This window comes from Homo sapiens, chromosome 17 (assembly GCF_000001405.40).
Source record: "Homo sapiens chromosome 17, GRCh38.p14 Primary Assembly".
Classification (NCBI taxonomy): Eukaryota; Metazoa; Chordata; class Mammalia; order Primates; family Hominidae; genus Homo; species Homo sapiens.
In genome coordinates, this window is record NC_000017.11 from 29,016,926 (window position 1) to 29,033,179 (window position 16,254).

Consider the following 16,254-nt stretch of genomic DNA (forward strand, 5'->3'; position numbering starts at 1 on the left):
GAACCCCCAGACCCAGAAGCAGCTGACTCAGATCCACTGCTGGGATCCTTGTTTTGCTGGCTTCAGCTTCGATTTTCCGCTGCCCTTTGCAAAAAACCAAGCCTGGAGGCCTCTCTGGGCTGCCTCCCAAATCAGGAAGCTGCAGAGGTAGGCTGCCTATCTCAGGCACCAGGACAACTGCCTTTTTGGTCTGGGAGATTGAGTTTGTCTGGCAGGGCAACAAAAAACTCATCAGGACAGATGTAGTCATGTATTGGGTGCCTACTTAATGCCCAGGCACCATGCTAAGCAGTTTATACACGTCATCTTCTTAACCTTTGTAACAGCCCAAAGAGATCAGTGGCAATGATCCACATTTTGCAGGGAAGGAAAACAAAGCTCAAAGAGGTTAAGTAACTTGTCCTGAGTCACACAGCTTGTAAGTGGTAGAGCGTGGATTTGAACTCATGTGTATTAGACTTCTGTGCCTAAGCTTCAGCCACCACAGTCTCCTAAAGATGACATCAGAGGTGCCCATACTCTCCCCCTGGCTAGATATTACCTGGTTAAGTAATTCCTACTTTAGAGAGGAGGAAGCAGATTCTGAGAGGAGAAGCCAGTGCATTTCCTCTAGGCTCCCAGGGAAGGGGAGCCTTTCTCATGAATTCTTACAATCAGCAATTGTTCCTTGAATTTTCATCTCAATGCTTCAGGTACTGAGTAGAGGATGTTGAGGAAAGAGAGGGTCAAGAGGCTGAGCTGGCCTCCTTCCCACACCCCAGCTCTGTCCCACCCCACTTGCACCCCATCACATTAATAGATCTAGATGGTGAGGTGAGGGGCTGGGACAGGCAGCAGTGTGTTAGGAGATGTGGCTTTGAAGTCAGCAGATCTGGGTCCAAATTCTAGCCCAACTACAACTTATTTGTTGAATACACCTGGGCAAGTCTATTAACCCCTTGGAACTTCCCTCATCCTGTCCATACCGTGGGGATAATATTACTCAAACCACAGGTTGTGCGGATTAAGAGGGAAAATTGCATGGGAAGTGCCTGGCATAAAGTGGGTCCTTAGTAGGCATTGGGTTCTTTCCCCCTCTTGTCCCTGCTCTTTCTGAAACCCCATGCCTTAGGTGCCCAGTTCTGAATGGCCGAGGTCAGGGCATTTCAAATATGTTTTAGCCAAGAAACTCTTTTGTTTTTTTGAGATGGAGTCTCGCTCTGTTGCCCAAGTTGGAGTGTAGTGGCGTGATCTCACTGCAACCTCCACCTCCCAAAGTCAAGCGATTCTCCTGCCTTAGCCTCCCGAGTAGCTGGGACTACAGGCGTGTGCCACCACGCCCGGCTCATTTTTGTATTTTTAGTAGAGATGGAGTTTCACTATGCTGGCCAGGCTGGTCTTGAACTCCTGACCTTGTGATCTGCCTGCCTCAGCCTCCCAAAGTGCTGGGATTACAGGCGTGAGCTACCGCGCCTGGCCAGCTAAGAAACTCTTTAATCAAAAGACACTTTATGAAGATGGCAAGGATACAAAATAGATAAAGGGGGAGTTGGTCAGATGGTGATAGGGGGCTGGGAGTTCTCCTGGCTTGAACCCCTCTCTCACCCTCAGCCCCAAAGCAGCCGCTCAAGTGCTTTCCTCAAGCCCTGGGCCAGCACATAAAGGGCTGCCTCACTCTTAGGTGTCTTAGGTCACGGGCTTCTCAGGAGCTCAGAAGTGATCACCTCTGGTGATTTCTGGCTCCAACACTATCTCTGAGCCACCAGCTACCTTGAACCTGTTCTGGATTCAGGGCATGACAATTTAGGTGCCAAATGGGCAAAGCTGCGTCTGGCCATAGGGAGGCTGTATCTGGCTGCTCCGGGTGGGAGGTGGGGTTGGGCGTCGCAGCTGGGAGAGCCATAGATCTGGGAAGGGGTGGGCAGATGACCCAGGATTGTGCAGGGGGTCTCTGTCCATCTTGGGCAGCAATGGACCTGTGGGCTTCCATGGGAAGTAGATGCCTGTTCACCAGGTCCAGCACTTAATATCCTCCCGAGGGAGGCAGGGACCACAGGAAGTGGAAGCGCAGTGGGGAGAGTGACATACAACACCATACAGTGAGCAAGTGACAGAAGTGAATTCAAACCTAGGCCTGTGGGCTCCAGAGGGCTGGGACTGCCGTTCATTCTCTCCTGTCCATACAGTGGCTGTCCTCTACCCCCAGCTCTCTGCAGAGAATTATCTATCAGCCCTTTCACCCACCAAACACAGAACATGAAGAGAGAAACTTAAATTGTAGCAGGAGGGAATGGGATTAGCTACTGGGAAGGACTTCCTGACTCATTAGCTTGTCTCTAGAATAGGTTATTAGAGAGGCAGTGTGCTCTCTCTCTTTGGAGGGATTTCACATGGGGCTTCAGTGCAGCTGGGCCCCTGTGGCTTCCACTTCCTGAAAGCTACTGAGAGACAAGCTGACCCCTGATGTGTATGGCTTTGTTTTTCGTAACGTTTATTTTTTGAATAGGTAATACCTGTACATGGTTCAAATAATAAGGGTATAAAAGGTTGTTCACTGAACTCTCCCTCCAGCCCCCGTCTCCAGCTTCCCCTCCCCAGAGGCAAGCAATGTTACCTGCTTCCTGTCTAGACCTATAAGAGCAAACACGGACACATACTCTTTCTTGAGTCCTGCTTTTAATACACAAGATGTAGCATCCCCTGCAAGCTCTTCTGTGCCTCGCTTTTGTCACCTGACAATATATCTTGGAGATTACTCCGAATCAGTACATAAAGAGCTGCCTCACTCTTAGGTGTCTTTTTATGGTCACGGACTTCTCAGGAGCTCAGAAATAATCACATCTGGTTTGATTAGCTTCACATTTCCATTTACAACGTCCCTGCCCAGAGAGGCAAGAAACCTCTCCAAGGTCACGCAGCAAGGACTAGGGACGCGCAGAGTTTCTCCCCCTCCTCCCGCCTCAGTTCCCAGCTCCTGTCCCCCGCCACCTCGAGGCTGAGCGCCGCCCAGGTGACCAGAAGGGAGAGGGGGAGGTCTCTAATTGAAATGCCCTCCGCGCTGCCCATTTGCGATCGGCACCTGGAGGGGCGCGCCGTGCACAATGAGGGCGGGGCCGTGGGGCTCCGGGTGCGGGCGGCGGCCGAGTGCCCACGTGGGTGCAGGCTAGGCCGGGCTGATTTCCCTGGAACCCCGCGCCGCGTGCTTCCCTGTAATGAGCTCCCAGGGCCCGAGGTGAGCTTCCTCGGCTGCTCACACGGCAGCCGCGTGGCAGCAAAGAACACGGGGACTTTTTTCTTCCGTGCCTGACAGCTCATTAGAAGAATTAATTTACTCTAGCGTTTGCAGTTTAAAGGACATTATTTACTGGTTAATTGTTGTTATTACAAAATGTTAAATATCATTATTTATTTCCCAGGCCCTGACAGCTTTTCTGACAGGAATTTATTAGGTGAGACTGTATCACCGGTAGGCACCCCTGTGCAGGGTAGCCTAAGAGTGGGCAGTTTGCCCCTAGGCCTAGCTCTCTAGGCAGGGCGGGCACTCCTAGGGGCAGAACAGGAGGGGCTGAACCCTGGCCCACCCCAGGACAAAGGATCATTGTCTCCTCCTCACCCCCCATTTCTGCCCCCTGATGTGCGTGTGTTGGTGGGGCAGGGGGGTGGGGGCTGGCAGACGGGGGGCATGCCTTGCATAAAGCTGCAGTTTAGGGGTCAGGCTGGCAGTTACCGGAGGCCCAGCGGCCAGAATGAGGTCCAGACTTTGAGTCCTTCCCTTTAAACAGTTACTTACAAGAATGTTCTCCTCTCCTGAACGCACAGAATTGAAGAGCTGGAAGGAAGCCAGGTGGTCCGCTGGTGCTGAGACTGCAAACCAGTGGCCTCCAGGTGGTAAATGGCCTATGGACTTGAGTTTGACCTATTCAAGAGACTTCACATAAAAATCCACTTTGCTGGCTTCCCTTGAAAGATCAGACAATCTTGCCACAAGACTTGACCCACAGTCTTGCATCAATTGGCGATGATCAGCGGGCAAGAAGGGCAGCGCTGTGCAAGGAGCATGCCTGCTCTCCAACAAAGGGAGGGTGCCACCTTCCCCCTTTGTTGCCTTGTCTACATTATTTTCCTGGCCTCTGTGGGCATTTGAGTTTTCAACCCCGATCTGCTCTACTAATGACCATATATAGATGAAGACACTGAGCCCAGAGAGGTTAAGTCTCTGATGGCCAGGACGACAGCCCCACTCTACTTTTCTTTTCCTTTTTTTTTTTCTTCTTCTTCTTCTTTTTGTTTTTTTTTTAGGATGGAGCAATCCTTTATTTTTATACACTTTGACAAGGAGGTTTTCCATAAACAATCTTTCCAGTGAGGAACAGAGAACAGGAAATTCAGCCTCCAGACATCAGCAGCTGCTCTGCTCAGGGCTGAGGCTCCTCCTTGCCAATGTGGTGAGGTGGAGGGGTGTACTTCCCTTCCTTTATCAGCTTATCCTGCTGCTTCCTGATGGTACCTGCACGTCTCATCGTTTTCTGCCGAAGCAAACACTCTACGAAATCATCAGATTCTATCTTGCACTCTTTCTCTGCCCGGATAACACTGATTCCATATGCACATTCTATCCATTCTTTTTCAAAAGCATGGCATCGAGCAGCAATCTTGTAGGGCTGTTCAGCACTCTGGATTGTCCACCATTGATCTATGTTAAGGCCGAATCTTTTCTGGATGGCCAAGAAAGGCATGGTGATCCGATGCTCATGTCTTTGTGTCTTCTCTGGCCGCCGCTTCAGGATGACCCCTAGTCTACTTTTCACCACACTGTGCTGCTCCCTGAATTTCTCTGCTCCCACCTCCTCTGGGTCCAGTTTAGAGTGAATTCAGACCGGGAACGCAGGTCTTCAGCAGCTTCAGGGGCAGGAACAAGAGGCAGCCTAGTGAGAATTTACAAGGATCATGGCCTTATAAATAGCATCCACTTATTCATTCAGCAAACAGTTTCTGGGGATCTACTACGTGATGTATTAAAATGATTAGGACCCAAATTGTGTTGTTGAGGAATTAGTCTGGGGACACTGTTCATGAAACAAGTTGCACAATGACAATACAAGGAGATGTCCGAGTAGTAGAGGCATAGGAAGATGGGATTGGTGGGGCTGGAGAGAATTCATCCTTCATGCAGCGTTTTCTAGGCTGGATGGATGGCCTGCATCCTCAAACACAGACGCACATGTCTTATTTAATTCTCACAACACAGCGGATTGAAAATATCTGTCATCAGCTTATAAATAACGGCTATACCAGGTCTCGGACTTGCTGTCTAGATTCTTCCCCCAGGGTGGGTGCTTGCAAGCAACTCCAGCCCTGGGGACCTTCTGTTCTAGCAGGTGGCACCCTTGCCATACAGTCTGTTGACTGGCAACCACATCTCATAATCAGGCTGATTACCCTCATTTTACAAGTGAGGAACCTGAGACTCAGAGACAGGTGACAGAAGCTGGGTGTTGACGGGTGAAATGGGCCCTGGGAAGGAGAGAGAGTTGTTGTCTGAGACCAACACCCAGCCCCGGGAAATGTGGGTCTTGCTGGCAGACTTCAAACAGTGGCCCTTTAGACAAGGTCTTGGGTCCCATCCTTTCCTCCCCAGGAACCTGACAGCAGTGGGTAGCCTCAAGGAAAATGTGGAGAACCAAAGGGAGATGAAAAGTTCTTCAAAAAAGTATGAAAACAGGTTCAACTGAGCCATTACTGTTGCTATGCTGTATATTATTATAAAGTTATTCCTGCCTGGCAGCCTGGTTTATGTTAGACCCTACCTCATTTCTTCTAGGTTATAGGCCCTAATTCCTTGTCTGGTGAGAAAGAAAGAGACCAGCACTATTGGAGTGAATCCTGAGCTGATTCAGAAACTGTACAGCTTGAGGAATTTCACAGATTCTCAGTCAGGGCTTGCTGTCCTTTGGAGGTCTTCACCACCCCCCTCATTTCATTTTATTGCCATATTAAATTTTTAAAAATTTAATTCATTTTTGGAATAGGTGATACGTGCCCAAAGTGCAAAATTCAAAAGGCATAAAAGAGTATATGGTGAACAGGCTTTCCCACTGCTCAGAGGCAGCCAGTGCCAGCAATTGCTTCTGTTTCACTGTTTGCAAAAATAGCATTGTTTCTCTTTTCCGTTCACATAGAAAATACAGTAATTCCTGCAGAAGAAAGTAAAAAATCATATGCAATCCACTATTTGGAGTTGAACATTGAACATTGTTCACATTTTTGGTGTTCACATTTCAGCCAGCCTTTTCTCTTTGCAAAGATACATGCATCTATAGTCATAAACTTGCATAACCTGGTTTTATTACTTGTTTACATTAAATGTGATTCTTCAAAAATACAGATCGGAGAGGATACAAACTAAACTGATAACAATGAGTACCTTGGGGAAGAATAATGAGATTGGGTAAGGATTGAAGGGAAATTTTTTAGAATGAAAATATATTGATACAGTACTTCCTCCTGTTATTCCTCTGGAATCTGATTTTAAATGACTAGATCAGAAGGCTACTATTTAATCAATCCTTTATTATTGTGGTTTTAGGATGTTTGCAAGTCTTCCTATTATAGACAAACCTGAGATGGACATTTTTGTATCTTTTTGTAGGTTGGAGCAAAAGTAATTGCTGTTCTTGCCATTGAAAGTAATGGCAAACCCAATATATCTTTGCACACTTATCTAGTATTTCCTTGGGGGTGCTTTAAGAAATGGAACTGCTGGGTCAAAGGTGGTATATACTTTATGGCTTTTTGATCCATCACGTCAAATTTCCTTCCCTCTGGGCTGTCCCAATCTCCTGTTCCACGGGCAGAGCCTGCCCCCTACTCCCACATCAGATTTATTCAACACAGCACACGTGTAAGGTCTGTGAGACAGTGAGGCAAACTCATGGGAGGCTGGGGAAGCTTCTTCTTGGGGTGAAGAACCCTAGGATGCTGGCAGCAGCCCAGAGGGACCTCAGTGGCCAAAGGGAAAAGGAGGAGGAGCAATGAATGGGTGTAGAATCCCCAGGCAGGTGGGGCAGGGGCCTCCACCAGTCCAAATCACAAGGCCAAAAGTTGTACAGCAACAACCCAAGGCTGGACTTGGATCCTCACCAGGGACCTAAGCGCCACCTTCTGCAGTGGCACCGCAGAGCTAAAGGCACAGCTGAGATGGTTCCTCTTGGAGTTCTTCTAGCCCATGAGAGTTACATGGCCTCAAGAGCATGCAGACATGGAGGACCTTCTAGGACTGGCTCCAACTCCTGCCTTCTCTAAGTGTCTCAGATTTGATTCCATGTCTCCTCTTTGCTTCCAGGTGCTTGTCACTGCCTAATACTTGTGGTTGTCACCCACAGCCTTTGTACTCTTAGATTCTCTGGCAAATTGACCCATTTCATTTGGAAAGCTTCAGAAGAAACTGGGCAGACACAAGACGGACTTGTTGATTTAATTGAAAAGATGGTATTCTGAAAGCACCCCCTCCCCTCTGGAGCCTGGCATCTTCACAGTAGCTGAGGTTTCCTCTTGATGGGGCGAAAAGAGAAAGCCCAAGATTGCATCTCATTGGTGAGATGAATAATACATTTGAAGCATCTCACAAACTGTGTTTGATCCGCCTAAAGCTTCAACCGTTAACGTATTTCTCTTTATCCCCAGCAAGGGAGGGCTGGGAACTGTCAACGTTTTCCTTTCTGCCTAATTTGTGCCTTCTCCATGAAGAGAAAAGCAGGGCCTGGGGGAGGGAAGGAGGCAAGGAAAGAGAAGGGTGACACACACCTCCTGGAACAATGCAGTGAGCCACAGGACTAGGGGGTGTTCCTGGGGCTTGGGAACACTGGGGGGTCATCAGGACACAGCAAGGGGTGGTTGGCTCTGGGGAGAGGGGCTGTGCTATGTGTGCTGGGACCTGTTTGCAGGACTGTGTGCCCCTAAGAAGTCAGTCCCTTGGAGGGTCCATCTCCTGTGTTTCTGGTGGGAAATCAGAGGTGGGAAATTGAGCCTTGAGCCTTGCCAGTTGCCAAGCACCAAAGATGCTTCCTTCATCTCATGGGAAGCAGAGAGTAACAGTGTTAAAAACTGGCCCCCTGGCCGGGTGCGGTGGCTCATGCCTGTAATCCCAGCACTTTGGGAGGCTGAGAGGTGCGGATCACGAGGTCAGGAGATCGAGACCATCCTGGCTAACACGGTGAAACCCCATCTCTACTAAACAAAATACAAAAAATTAGCCAGGCGTGGTGGCAGGCGCCTGTAGTCCCAGCTACTTGGGAGGCTGAGGCAGGAGAATGGCGTGAACCCAAGAAGTGGAGCTTGCAGTGAGCCGAGATCATGCCACTGCACTCTAGCCTGGGCAACAGAGGGAGACTCCATCTCAAAAAAAACAAAAAAAAAACTTCCCCTGACTGAGCTCAGGGACAGCACTGTGCCTGTGTTTTTACCAACATGCTTCCAGTCACTCTTCGTGTCTCTCTGCAGGCCGACCTTAGTGCTAAGGATCCTATCCAAGGTCAGACCGAGGGTAAGAGTCAGGCTACCGGGTCCAGAAGTTCACGTTCTTAAGTGCAGTGCCATTCTCCCCCTCCCTGAGTCTTCATGACTTTGCCTACCTAGGCTCCTATTCTGGAGGAGGGTGGTTACGAGCACAGACTCTGGAGGAAGGCGGCTGTGTTCTGAATCCTCTCACCAAGCCTCACTTTCCTCGTGTGTAAAATGGAGGTGTTAACAATAGTACCGACTCCATAGGATTGTGGTGAGATTAAATAAGTAAATATACTCCGGTTCTCAGAGCAATTCCTGGAGCATAGGATGCACTGTGTGTATTAGCTCATTTGTATTTTTCCCACTTCAATGAGCTGGTCTACGTGTGTATGAGCTCTTATTCCCAGCCTATTTCTATTCCACAGTCTGGTAGCAGCCACCCCTCCCAGCTGGCCTTGAACCTATTTCATCTCCCCTCTTGGGACGACCATCTCTGTTCCAGTCCACCTTATTTCCTAGCCCTCTTCCTCCCCTGCCCAGCCTGGCTTGGGGCGCCACCATCAGACCCCGCCACATAACCCTCATTCGTGGAAGCTTCCCTGAGACCCCCCAGAGTACCGTTGATGCATATCAGATTCCACCAGGTCTTTTGCCTGAGTTCTTCTTTTTTCTAAATTAAAAAAAAAAAGTATTGGTTGGTTTGTTTGCTTTTTAAGAGATGGGGTCTTGCTGCATTGCTTAGGCTAGATTTGAACTCCTGGGATCAAGTGATCTTCCCACCTCAGCCCCTGAGAAGTTGGGACTATATGCATGTGCCACTGTGCCCAGATTAAAATTTTATTTTTAATTGACAAATAATAATTGTATATATATTTATGGGGTACATTGTGATACTTTTATTTTATTTTTATTTTAGAGACAGGGTCCCACTGTCACCCAGGCTGGAGTGCAGTGGTGCGATTATAGTTCCCAGCAGTCTCGAACTCCTAGCAGTCCTCCCGCCTTAGCCTCCTGAGTAGCTGGGACCACAGGCATGCCGCACCGTGCCTGGCTAATTTTATTTTGTTTTATTTTTTGTAGAGATGGGGGTCTTGCTTTGTTGCTCAGACTGGTCTCAAACTCCTGGCCTCAAGCGGTCCTCTCTTCTCAGCCTCCCAAAGTTTTGGGGTTACAGACATGAGCCACTGTGCCCGGCCTGATGTTTCAATATATGTTTACAATGTGGAATGATTAAGTCAGGCTAATTAACAAATCCATCACATGATCTCACTTATATGTGAAATCCAAAAAAGTTAAAGTCATGGAAGTAGAGAGTGGAATAATGGTGGCTGGGCGCGGTGGCTCATGCCTGTAATCCCAGCACTCTGGGAGGCTGAGGCGGGCGGATCACCTGAGGTCAGGAGTTTGAGACCAGCCTGACCAACATGGAGAAGCCCCATCTCTACTAAAAAATACAAAAAATTAGCCGGGCATGGTGGTAGGCACCTGTAATCCCAGCTACTTGGGAGGCGGAGACAGGAGAATCACTTGAACCCAAGAGGCTGACGTTGCAGTGAGCCAAGATTGCACCGCTGTACTCCAGCCTGGGTGACAAGAGCGAAACTCAAAAAAAAAAAATGATGGTCACCACAGGCTCAGGGAGGGGGTTGGAGAGAGAGGAACTGTTGATCAAAGGGTACAGAGTGTGTGGTTTCTAGTAGGTCCTCTCATTCCCATGGACTTCACTGATTTGGGTGGCTCTTTTATCTCCTGTAATGGCCAGTACAGGAAACGCCCATTCCCTCAGTAACCAGCAGCACACTTTCGCATGTGGGAGAGCACCAAGAGAGATGACATCTCTGGGAGGGAAACAGAGTGGATAGTCCCCACTGGGGAAGGAACAAGGGACCGAGGAGTGAGAGGGATGTTCCTAATAACTAGCAGTGCGTCTCCATCCTAAGTCACTCATTCCTATACTTCAGTTTCCCAGCCTCCTTCCTCTGCTGACTCCCTGTGGGGAAGCTGCTCATTGTGTCCACCCTCAGTCCCCCAAGTTGCAGCTGTGAACTGGGACTTATGCGCAGCAGCCAAGAGACACCTCAGAATTCCCAAGTTTGGAACAGGAGGAAGGAGTCTGCCAAAGCAAGCGGTGAAACTAGATTTTGGAGAGGACTTCAAGTGTGGATGGTGAGAGGGTGGTCCTGGGGAAGGGAGACCTCTCTCTTCAGGGCAAGGCAGGCCTGGGGTCCCTGCAGCCTGGCCTGCATGCCTGCCCAGTGCCCCAGAGCCCTTCTGTTCAGGCCTGGCATCCCACAGAGGTGGCATTCTGCTCAGGAGCTTAGAGCACAGACGAAGAGGCAGGCATTGCCAGGAATTGATTTGCGGAAGCAGCGGGGGCTTTCTCTTCCTCCTTACTTCCTTGGTCTTTGATCTCCTGTCCTCCCTCCATAGTCCATTTTCCCCCTCCTTCCCTTGATTTATTCCTCTTTTTCTTTCTTTAGCTGAATCATAGCCACTCCCTAGAAGGCAAAGGCTGGGAGAGGCAGTTCTTTGTCCTCTTTTTCCCTTAACTAGGTGGGTCCTCGCTGTCCAGATCTCAGCCTCCTACCCAAGTCATGAGGCAGGATTTGGCCATGGATGGGGAAAGGAGACACACACACACACACACACACACACACACACACACACACATATCCAAGGCAAGAGCTGAAACAGGCAGAAAAATCAAGGAAAAGGGGAGAGGCAAAGAGAGAAAGCGTTCAGCCATCAGAAAGACAGTAAAAGACAAGAGTTGAGAAGAGTCAGAGACAACGAAAAAAGAGAATTCAGCAAATTAAAAATTTTACAACCATCCAGCAAGTCTGCAAAAATGATCTTCCCTGCGGTCTTTCATTTATCTCATTATCTGACTCCTAATGTGCTTTTTCCCCCCTTTCTTTTCTCGCCACACTTGGTGCAAAATCTTATTAGATTTTTTTTTTTTTTTCTGGCAGGGGCTTCATATAGTCTTTTTCATTACATTTCCTAATAAAAGCAATCACTAGGACGGCATGGCTGGAGGATTAAAAAGCCACCTCAGCAGCCTCCTGGCCAGCAGAACCATGACTCGCCAGAGCCTTGTTCACACTGCCAGGGGAGTGGGCCAGCCCCAGCGGGTCCCGGGTCAGGGAAACCCAGGCTGTGCTGTGGAATGTTCCAGGGCACAGATAGGTTCAAGATATTATGGGAGAAGAACTGAAGGAGGGGTCCCTTCCCAGAGCTATTTTAGAGCAGGAGTGACAGACACCTGTATTTAACCCAGCTGATCCTGGCTAATTTTTGTTCCTGAGGAAGGAATATTTTGGGTCTTTTTCTTTGGACTTTGGCCCACTCTGTCCCATAGCAAATTTTTATGAATAACATCAGTGATATAAAATATTTATCTCCCTTTTGTTTTGAGATAGGGTCTCTCATTCTGTCACCCAGGCTGGAGTGCAGTGGTGGGATCTTGGCTCACTGCAGCCTTAACCACCCTGGCTCAAGTGATCCTCCTGCCTCAGCCTCCCAAGTAGCTACAGGTGTGCACCAACACACCCAGCTAATTTTTCTATTTTTTTGTAGAGACAGAGTTTCACCGTGTTGCCCAGGCTGGTCTTGAACTACTGGGCCATGGCCTCCCAAAGTGCTGGGATTGCAGGCATGAGCCACTATCCCCAGCCAAATCTTTACCTTTTGAGTAGATTTTATTTTGTTAGGTAGACTTTTTTTTTTTTACTGTGTATAATACACATAACATTTACAATTTGCAATTTAACCATTTTAAGGGTACAGTTCAGTGGCATTGAGCACATTCACACAGCCATCACTGCCATCCATCTCCAGAACTTTTTCATCTTCCCAAAATGGAGATCTCTCCCCATTATACACTAACTCCCATTCCCTCTATTGCCAGCCCTTGGTAACCAATGTCTACTTTTTGTCTATGAATTTGTCTATGTCTATTTTAGGTACCTCATATAAGGAGAATCATAATATTTCTCGTTTTGTGTGTGCCCTGTTTCACTTAACATAATATCCTCCAGGTTCACCTGTGTTGTAGTATGTGTCAGAATGCCATTTCTTTCTTCTTCTTTTCTTCTCTATCTTTCTTTCTTTCTTTCTTTCTTTTTTTTTTGACACAGGATCTCGTTCTGTCACCCAGGCTGGAGTGCAGTGGTGTGATCACAGCTCACTGCAGCCTCGACCTCCTGGGCTCAAGCGATCCTCCTACCTCAGCCTCCCGAGTAGCTGGGACTACAGGCTACCACACCCGCTAATTTTTTCATTTTTTGTAGAGATGAGATTTTGCCGTGTTGCCTAGGCTGGGTCACCATTTTTTTTTTAAGGCCAAATAATATTTCATTGTATGAATATGTCACATTTTGTTTATTTCATCGTTTTTCAAAACAGAAACATTTTCTTTTCTTTTTTTTGAGACGGGGTCTCGCTCTGTCGCCCAGGCTGGAGTGCAGTGGCGCGATCTCAGCTCAGCGCAAGCTCCGCCTCCCGGGTTCACGCCATTCTCCTGTCTCAGCCTCCTCAGCAGCTGGGACTACAGGCACACGCCACCACGCCTGGCTAATTTTTGTATTTTTAGTACAGACGGGGTTTCACCGTGTTAGCCAGGATGGTCTCAATCTCCTGACCTTGTGATCCGCCCGCCTCGGCCTCCCAAAGTGCTGGGATTACAGGCGTGACCCACCGTGCCCGGCCAAAAACAGAAACATTTTCACATAAGGAAAGTGAAAAGCAGAGAAAACCCACCAGATTCCCATTAATACAATGGTTCTCTCATTTCTCTTTTGCTAATAATTATACCTCCATCCCATCCCCGAACAATCCTGTCCTCCCAGGGCTGCTCCAAACCTCTCCAAGAAAGCAGCTTGGCAGAGCATTTGGCATTTGGTAAGGGCCAAAAGTTACGGGGAAACAGGTCTGATAAATCAAGTTAAAGGAGAGCAAGGAAACCCCTATAAAGCAGCAAGACATTTTATTGCCTGGGTTATAAATTGGCCTGAAGGTATTTCACACATCAGCTCCAGGATGACTTGGGCCACACATTGAGTACCACTGGATTAACTACTCAACTTCATACGGGGGAGACTTTGAAGAGAACCATAGTCATTTGGAAATATGTGGTCTGGTATGTTTTAAAATAAAGGTACAATAATCAAGTTAAAAACAACTTTTCAATGACTTGTTGCTTTGAAACCACTTAGGCCACCCCTGGTTAACCGCTGCATCCCTTGGGTGCTCAGCCAGGGCTGCATGAGTTGGTCTCAATCAGCACTTCTCAAAGATCCGAGAGCATCGCAGATGTAGGGGAGGTGCAAGGGAAGCCATTATTGGAAAAGTGTGCACGTGGCTACCTGGAGTGCTGCAAGCTGCTCCCAGCAGGGTCTCCCCAGTCTCAACCACTGGTTCATTGGTTCGGTTTATGATGATATTACTTTGTATCTGCATGGTCCATTGGGATCCTTTTACGTTTCATTTCTTTCCAGTCTCCTCTAGGACCCGTTTTCTTTTTTTTTTTTAGACATAGTTTTGCTCTTGTCGCCTAGGCTGGAGTGCAATGGTGCCATCTCAGCTCACTGCAACCTCTGCATCCCAGGTTCAAGCAATTCTCCTGCCTCAACCACGGCCTCCCGGGTTCAAGTGATTCTCCTGTGTTAGCCTCCCGACTAGGTGGGATTACAGGTGCCTGCCACCATGCCTGGCTAATTTTTGTATTTTTAGTAGAGACGGGGTTTCACCATGTTGGCCAGGCTGGTCTTGAACTCCTGACCTCAGGTGATCCGCCCATCTCGGCCTCCCCCTAAAGTGTTGGGATTACAGGTGTGAGCCACCGCACTTGGCCTGTTTTTTTCTCTTTCTTTCTTTCTTTTTTTTTTTTTTGAGACAGAGTCTCACTCTGTTGCCCAGGCTGGAAGGCAATGTCACGATCTTGGCTCGCTGAAACCTCCACCCTCTGGGTTCAAGCAATTCTCCTGCTTCAGCCTCCCGAGTAGCTGGGATTACAGGCGCTCACCACCATGCCTCGCTAATTTTTTTGTATTTTTAGTAGAAACAGGGTTTCACCATGTTGGCCAGGCTGGTTTCAAACTCCTGACCTCAAGTGATCCACCCACCTCAGCCTCCCAAAGTGCTAGGATTACAGGAATGAGCCGTCATGCCCGACCTCCTTTGTTCTAAGTCTCTGCCAGCCTCATCTCTGTCCCAGACTCCAGAAGATAGCAGATCCTGCTCAGGAGCATAGAAGCCCAGAGGTCACAAAGACTTCCTCACCAAGCTCCTTTCCTTCCCTCTTCTTGTGGCAGAGCCCCTGAAATGAAATATGAATTTCGCCACCTTTCTGCATAAGCAGAAGTATTTATTCTCTTCTTTTCCCCTTTCCTTTTCTTTTTTTCTTTTGAGGTGGGGTCTCACTCTGTCGGTCTCACTTTCCCGCCTTCCACTGGTACCAGCCCTTTCTGGATCACACCCTTTCTCTTCTTAAGAAGCTGCCTCCTCCCTTCCATCAATGCTCCAGGGGGCTTTTATTTTTCTTTTATTTTCGGCTCCCTATCAATCAAGGGGAGGGGGACACTTTATCTGAACCTTTGGTGAGCAACAGCAGCAACCGGCAGCTGCCAGGGCAGTGGGAACTTCATTTTCAGCGCTGACGTTTATAAATGTGGCACAGAGTACCAGTAGGGACTGGAAAAAATCAAACAGCTTCTCCAGAGGTCCCTAGGGGCTGCTTTAGAATTTCTTCTCACTGGGGGCTCCTTCTCTTTCTTTGCAGGCATGGGTGGGGGTGGGGAATGTTATTTGCAACGTGGAATGAGCCACATTCTTTCCCTATCTTCACAAAAGAACTTAGCAGGACCCAAGACCCAGGGTGCTGAGGAGTGCGAACATCTGCCTCACTCTTGATTTGGAGAAAGGTTTGGGGTGAGGGGTGGGAATGCTGACTCTGTTGCTTTTTAGTGATCAGTTGCCTCATCTGCAAAATGGGAGTAAAAATGCCTGCCTGTCCACTTCACGAGGCTGCTGTGAAGATCAAATGAGATGTCTGTGAGTGAGTGCCCTGAAACCTGCGACAAGCTTAGGCAACCTGGCGGGTGGTTATGAAGGAGCAATGGTGAGGAGCAGAGTTATCCAGCACCCCAGGGCATCTGGAGAGCTTTGAACGGGCTCTGGGCAGACCTTCCCCGGACTATTCCAGGAACCTCCTCTTTCTCTATCCCTTTAAAAATTCTGGGCTAGGATCCCTGGTGGTCTGTTCCAAACACAACTGGAATCGTCCCAATGTCTTCTCTAAACCTTTCTTCCTCTGTCCTTCTAAACAGCAAGAAAATAAATGTGGGCAAGCCTGAGAGGTGAGAGACTGAGAGAGAGAAAGTGAGAGAAAGAATAAAGCTAAGATTCCACTTGGAAAAGGGGGCTGCCAAGGATGAGGTGGGAAGTGGGTCGCAGTTGGTTAATATAATACCGCGCTGCTGAGAGCTCTGCAGGGGTCCTTTCAAGGTTCTGTATGAGAACCTTGCTTAGTGAGATGAGACCCAGCATGGGCCCAGCAATCCCACTTCCTTTACATTCTCTAAATTTTCCAGATGCTGCACACAACCCTTCACCTGCTTTCTGGCGTTTCTGTGGATTTCACTCCTACCCAGGCTGTGGTTGGGAGCCAAGGGGCAGACAGGATGCTGGCAATGCCTAGAGCCCTTCCCTGACTCGCATCAGGACTGCAATGATCTGTACAGTATTTTCTCCTAAGTCATTTCCTATACGTAG

The 16,254-nt window shown here is 48.4% G+C and overlaps 1 pseudogene, besides 3 other annotated features; it reads right to left on the reverse strand.

Annotated features, from left to right (window-relative positions):
* Positions 2,386-3,026: an enhancer, noted in NCBI's record as "NANOG-H3K27ac-H3K4me1 hESC enhancer chr17:27346329-27346969 (GRCh37/hg19 assembly coordinates)". NCBI's record gives its function as "activates a minimal SCP1, AML or CMV promoter by ChIP-STARR-seq in primed H9 embryonic stem cells {active_cell/tissue: H9 hESC(primed)}" and the evidence as "EXISTENCE:reporter gene assay evidence [ECO:0000049][PMID:30033119]".
* Positions 3,027-3,666: an enhancer, noted in NCBI's record as "H3K27ac-H3K4me1 hESC enhancer chr17:27346970-27347609 (GRCh37/hg19 assembly coordinates)". NCBI's record gives its function as "activates a minimal SCP1, AML or CMV promoter by ChIP-STARR-seq in primed H9 embryonic stem cells {active_cell/tissue: H9 hESC(primed)}" and the evidence as "EXISTENCE:reporter gene assay evidence [ECO:0000049][PMID:30033119]".
* On the reverse strand, positions 4,276-4,769 carry NDUFS5P7 (NADH:ubiquinone oxidoreductase subunit S5 pseudogene 7; annotated as a pseudogene).
* Positions 15,420-16,254: an enhancer, noted in NCBI's record as "OCT4-NANOG-H3K27ac hESC enhancer chr17:27359363-27360197 (GRCh37/hg19 assembly coordinates)". NCBI's record gives its function as "activates a minimal SCP1, AML or CMV promoter by ChIP-STARR-seq in primed H9 embryonic stem cells {active_cell/tissue: H9 hESC(primed)}" and the evidence as "EXISTENCE:reporter gene assay evidence [ECO:0000049][PMID:30033119]".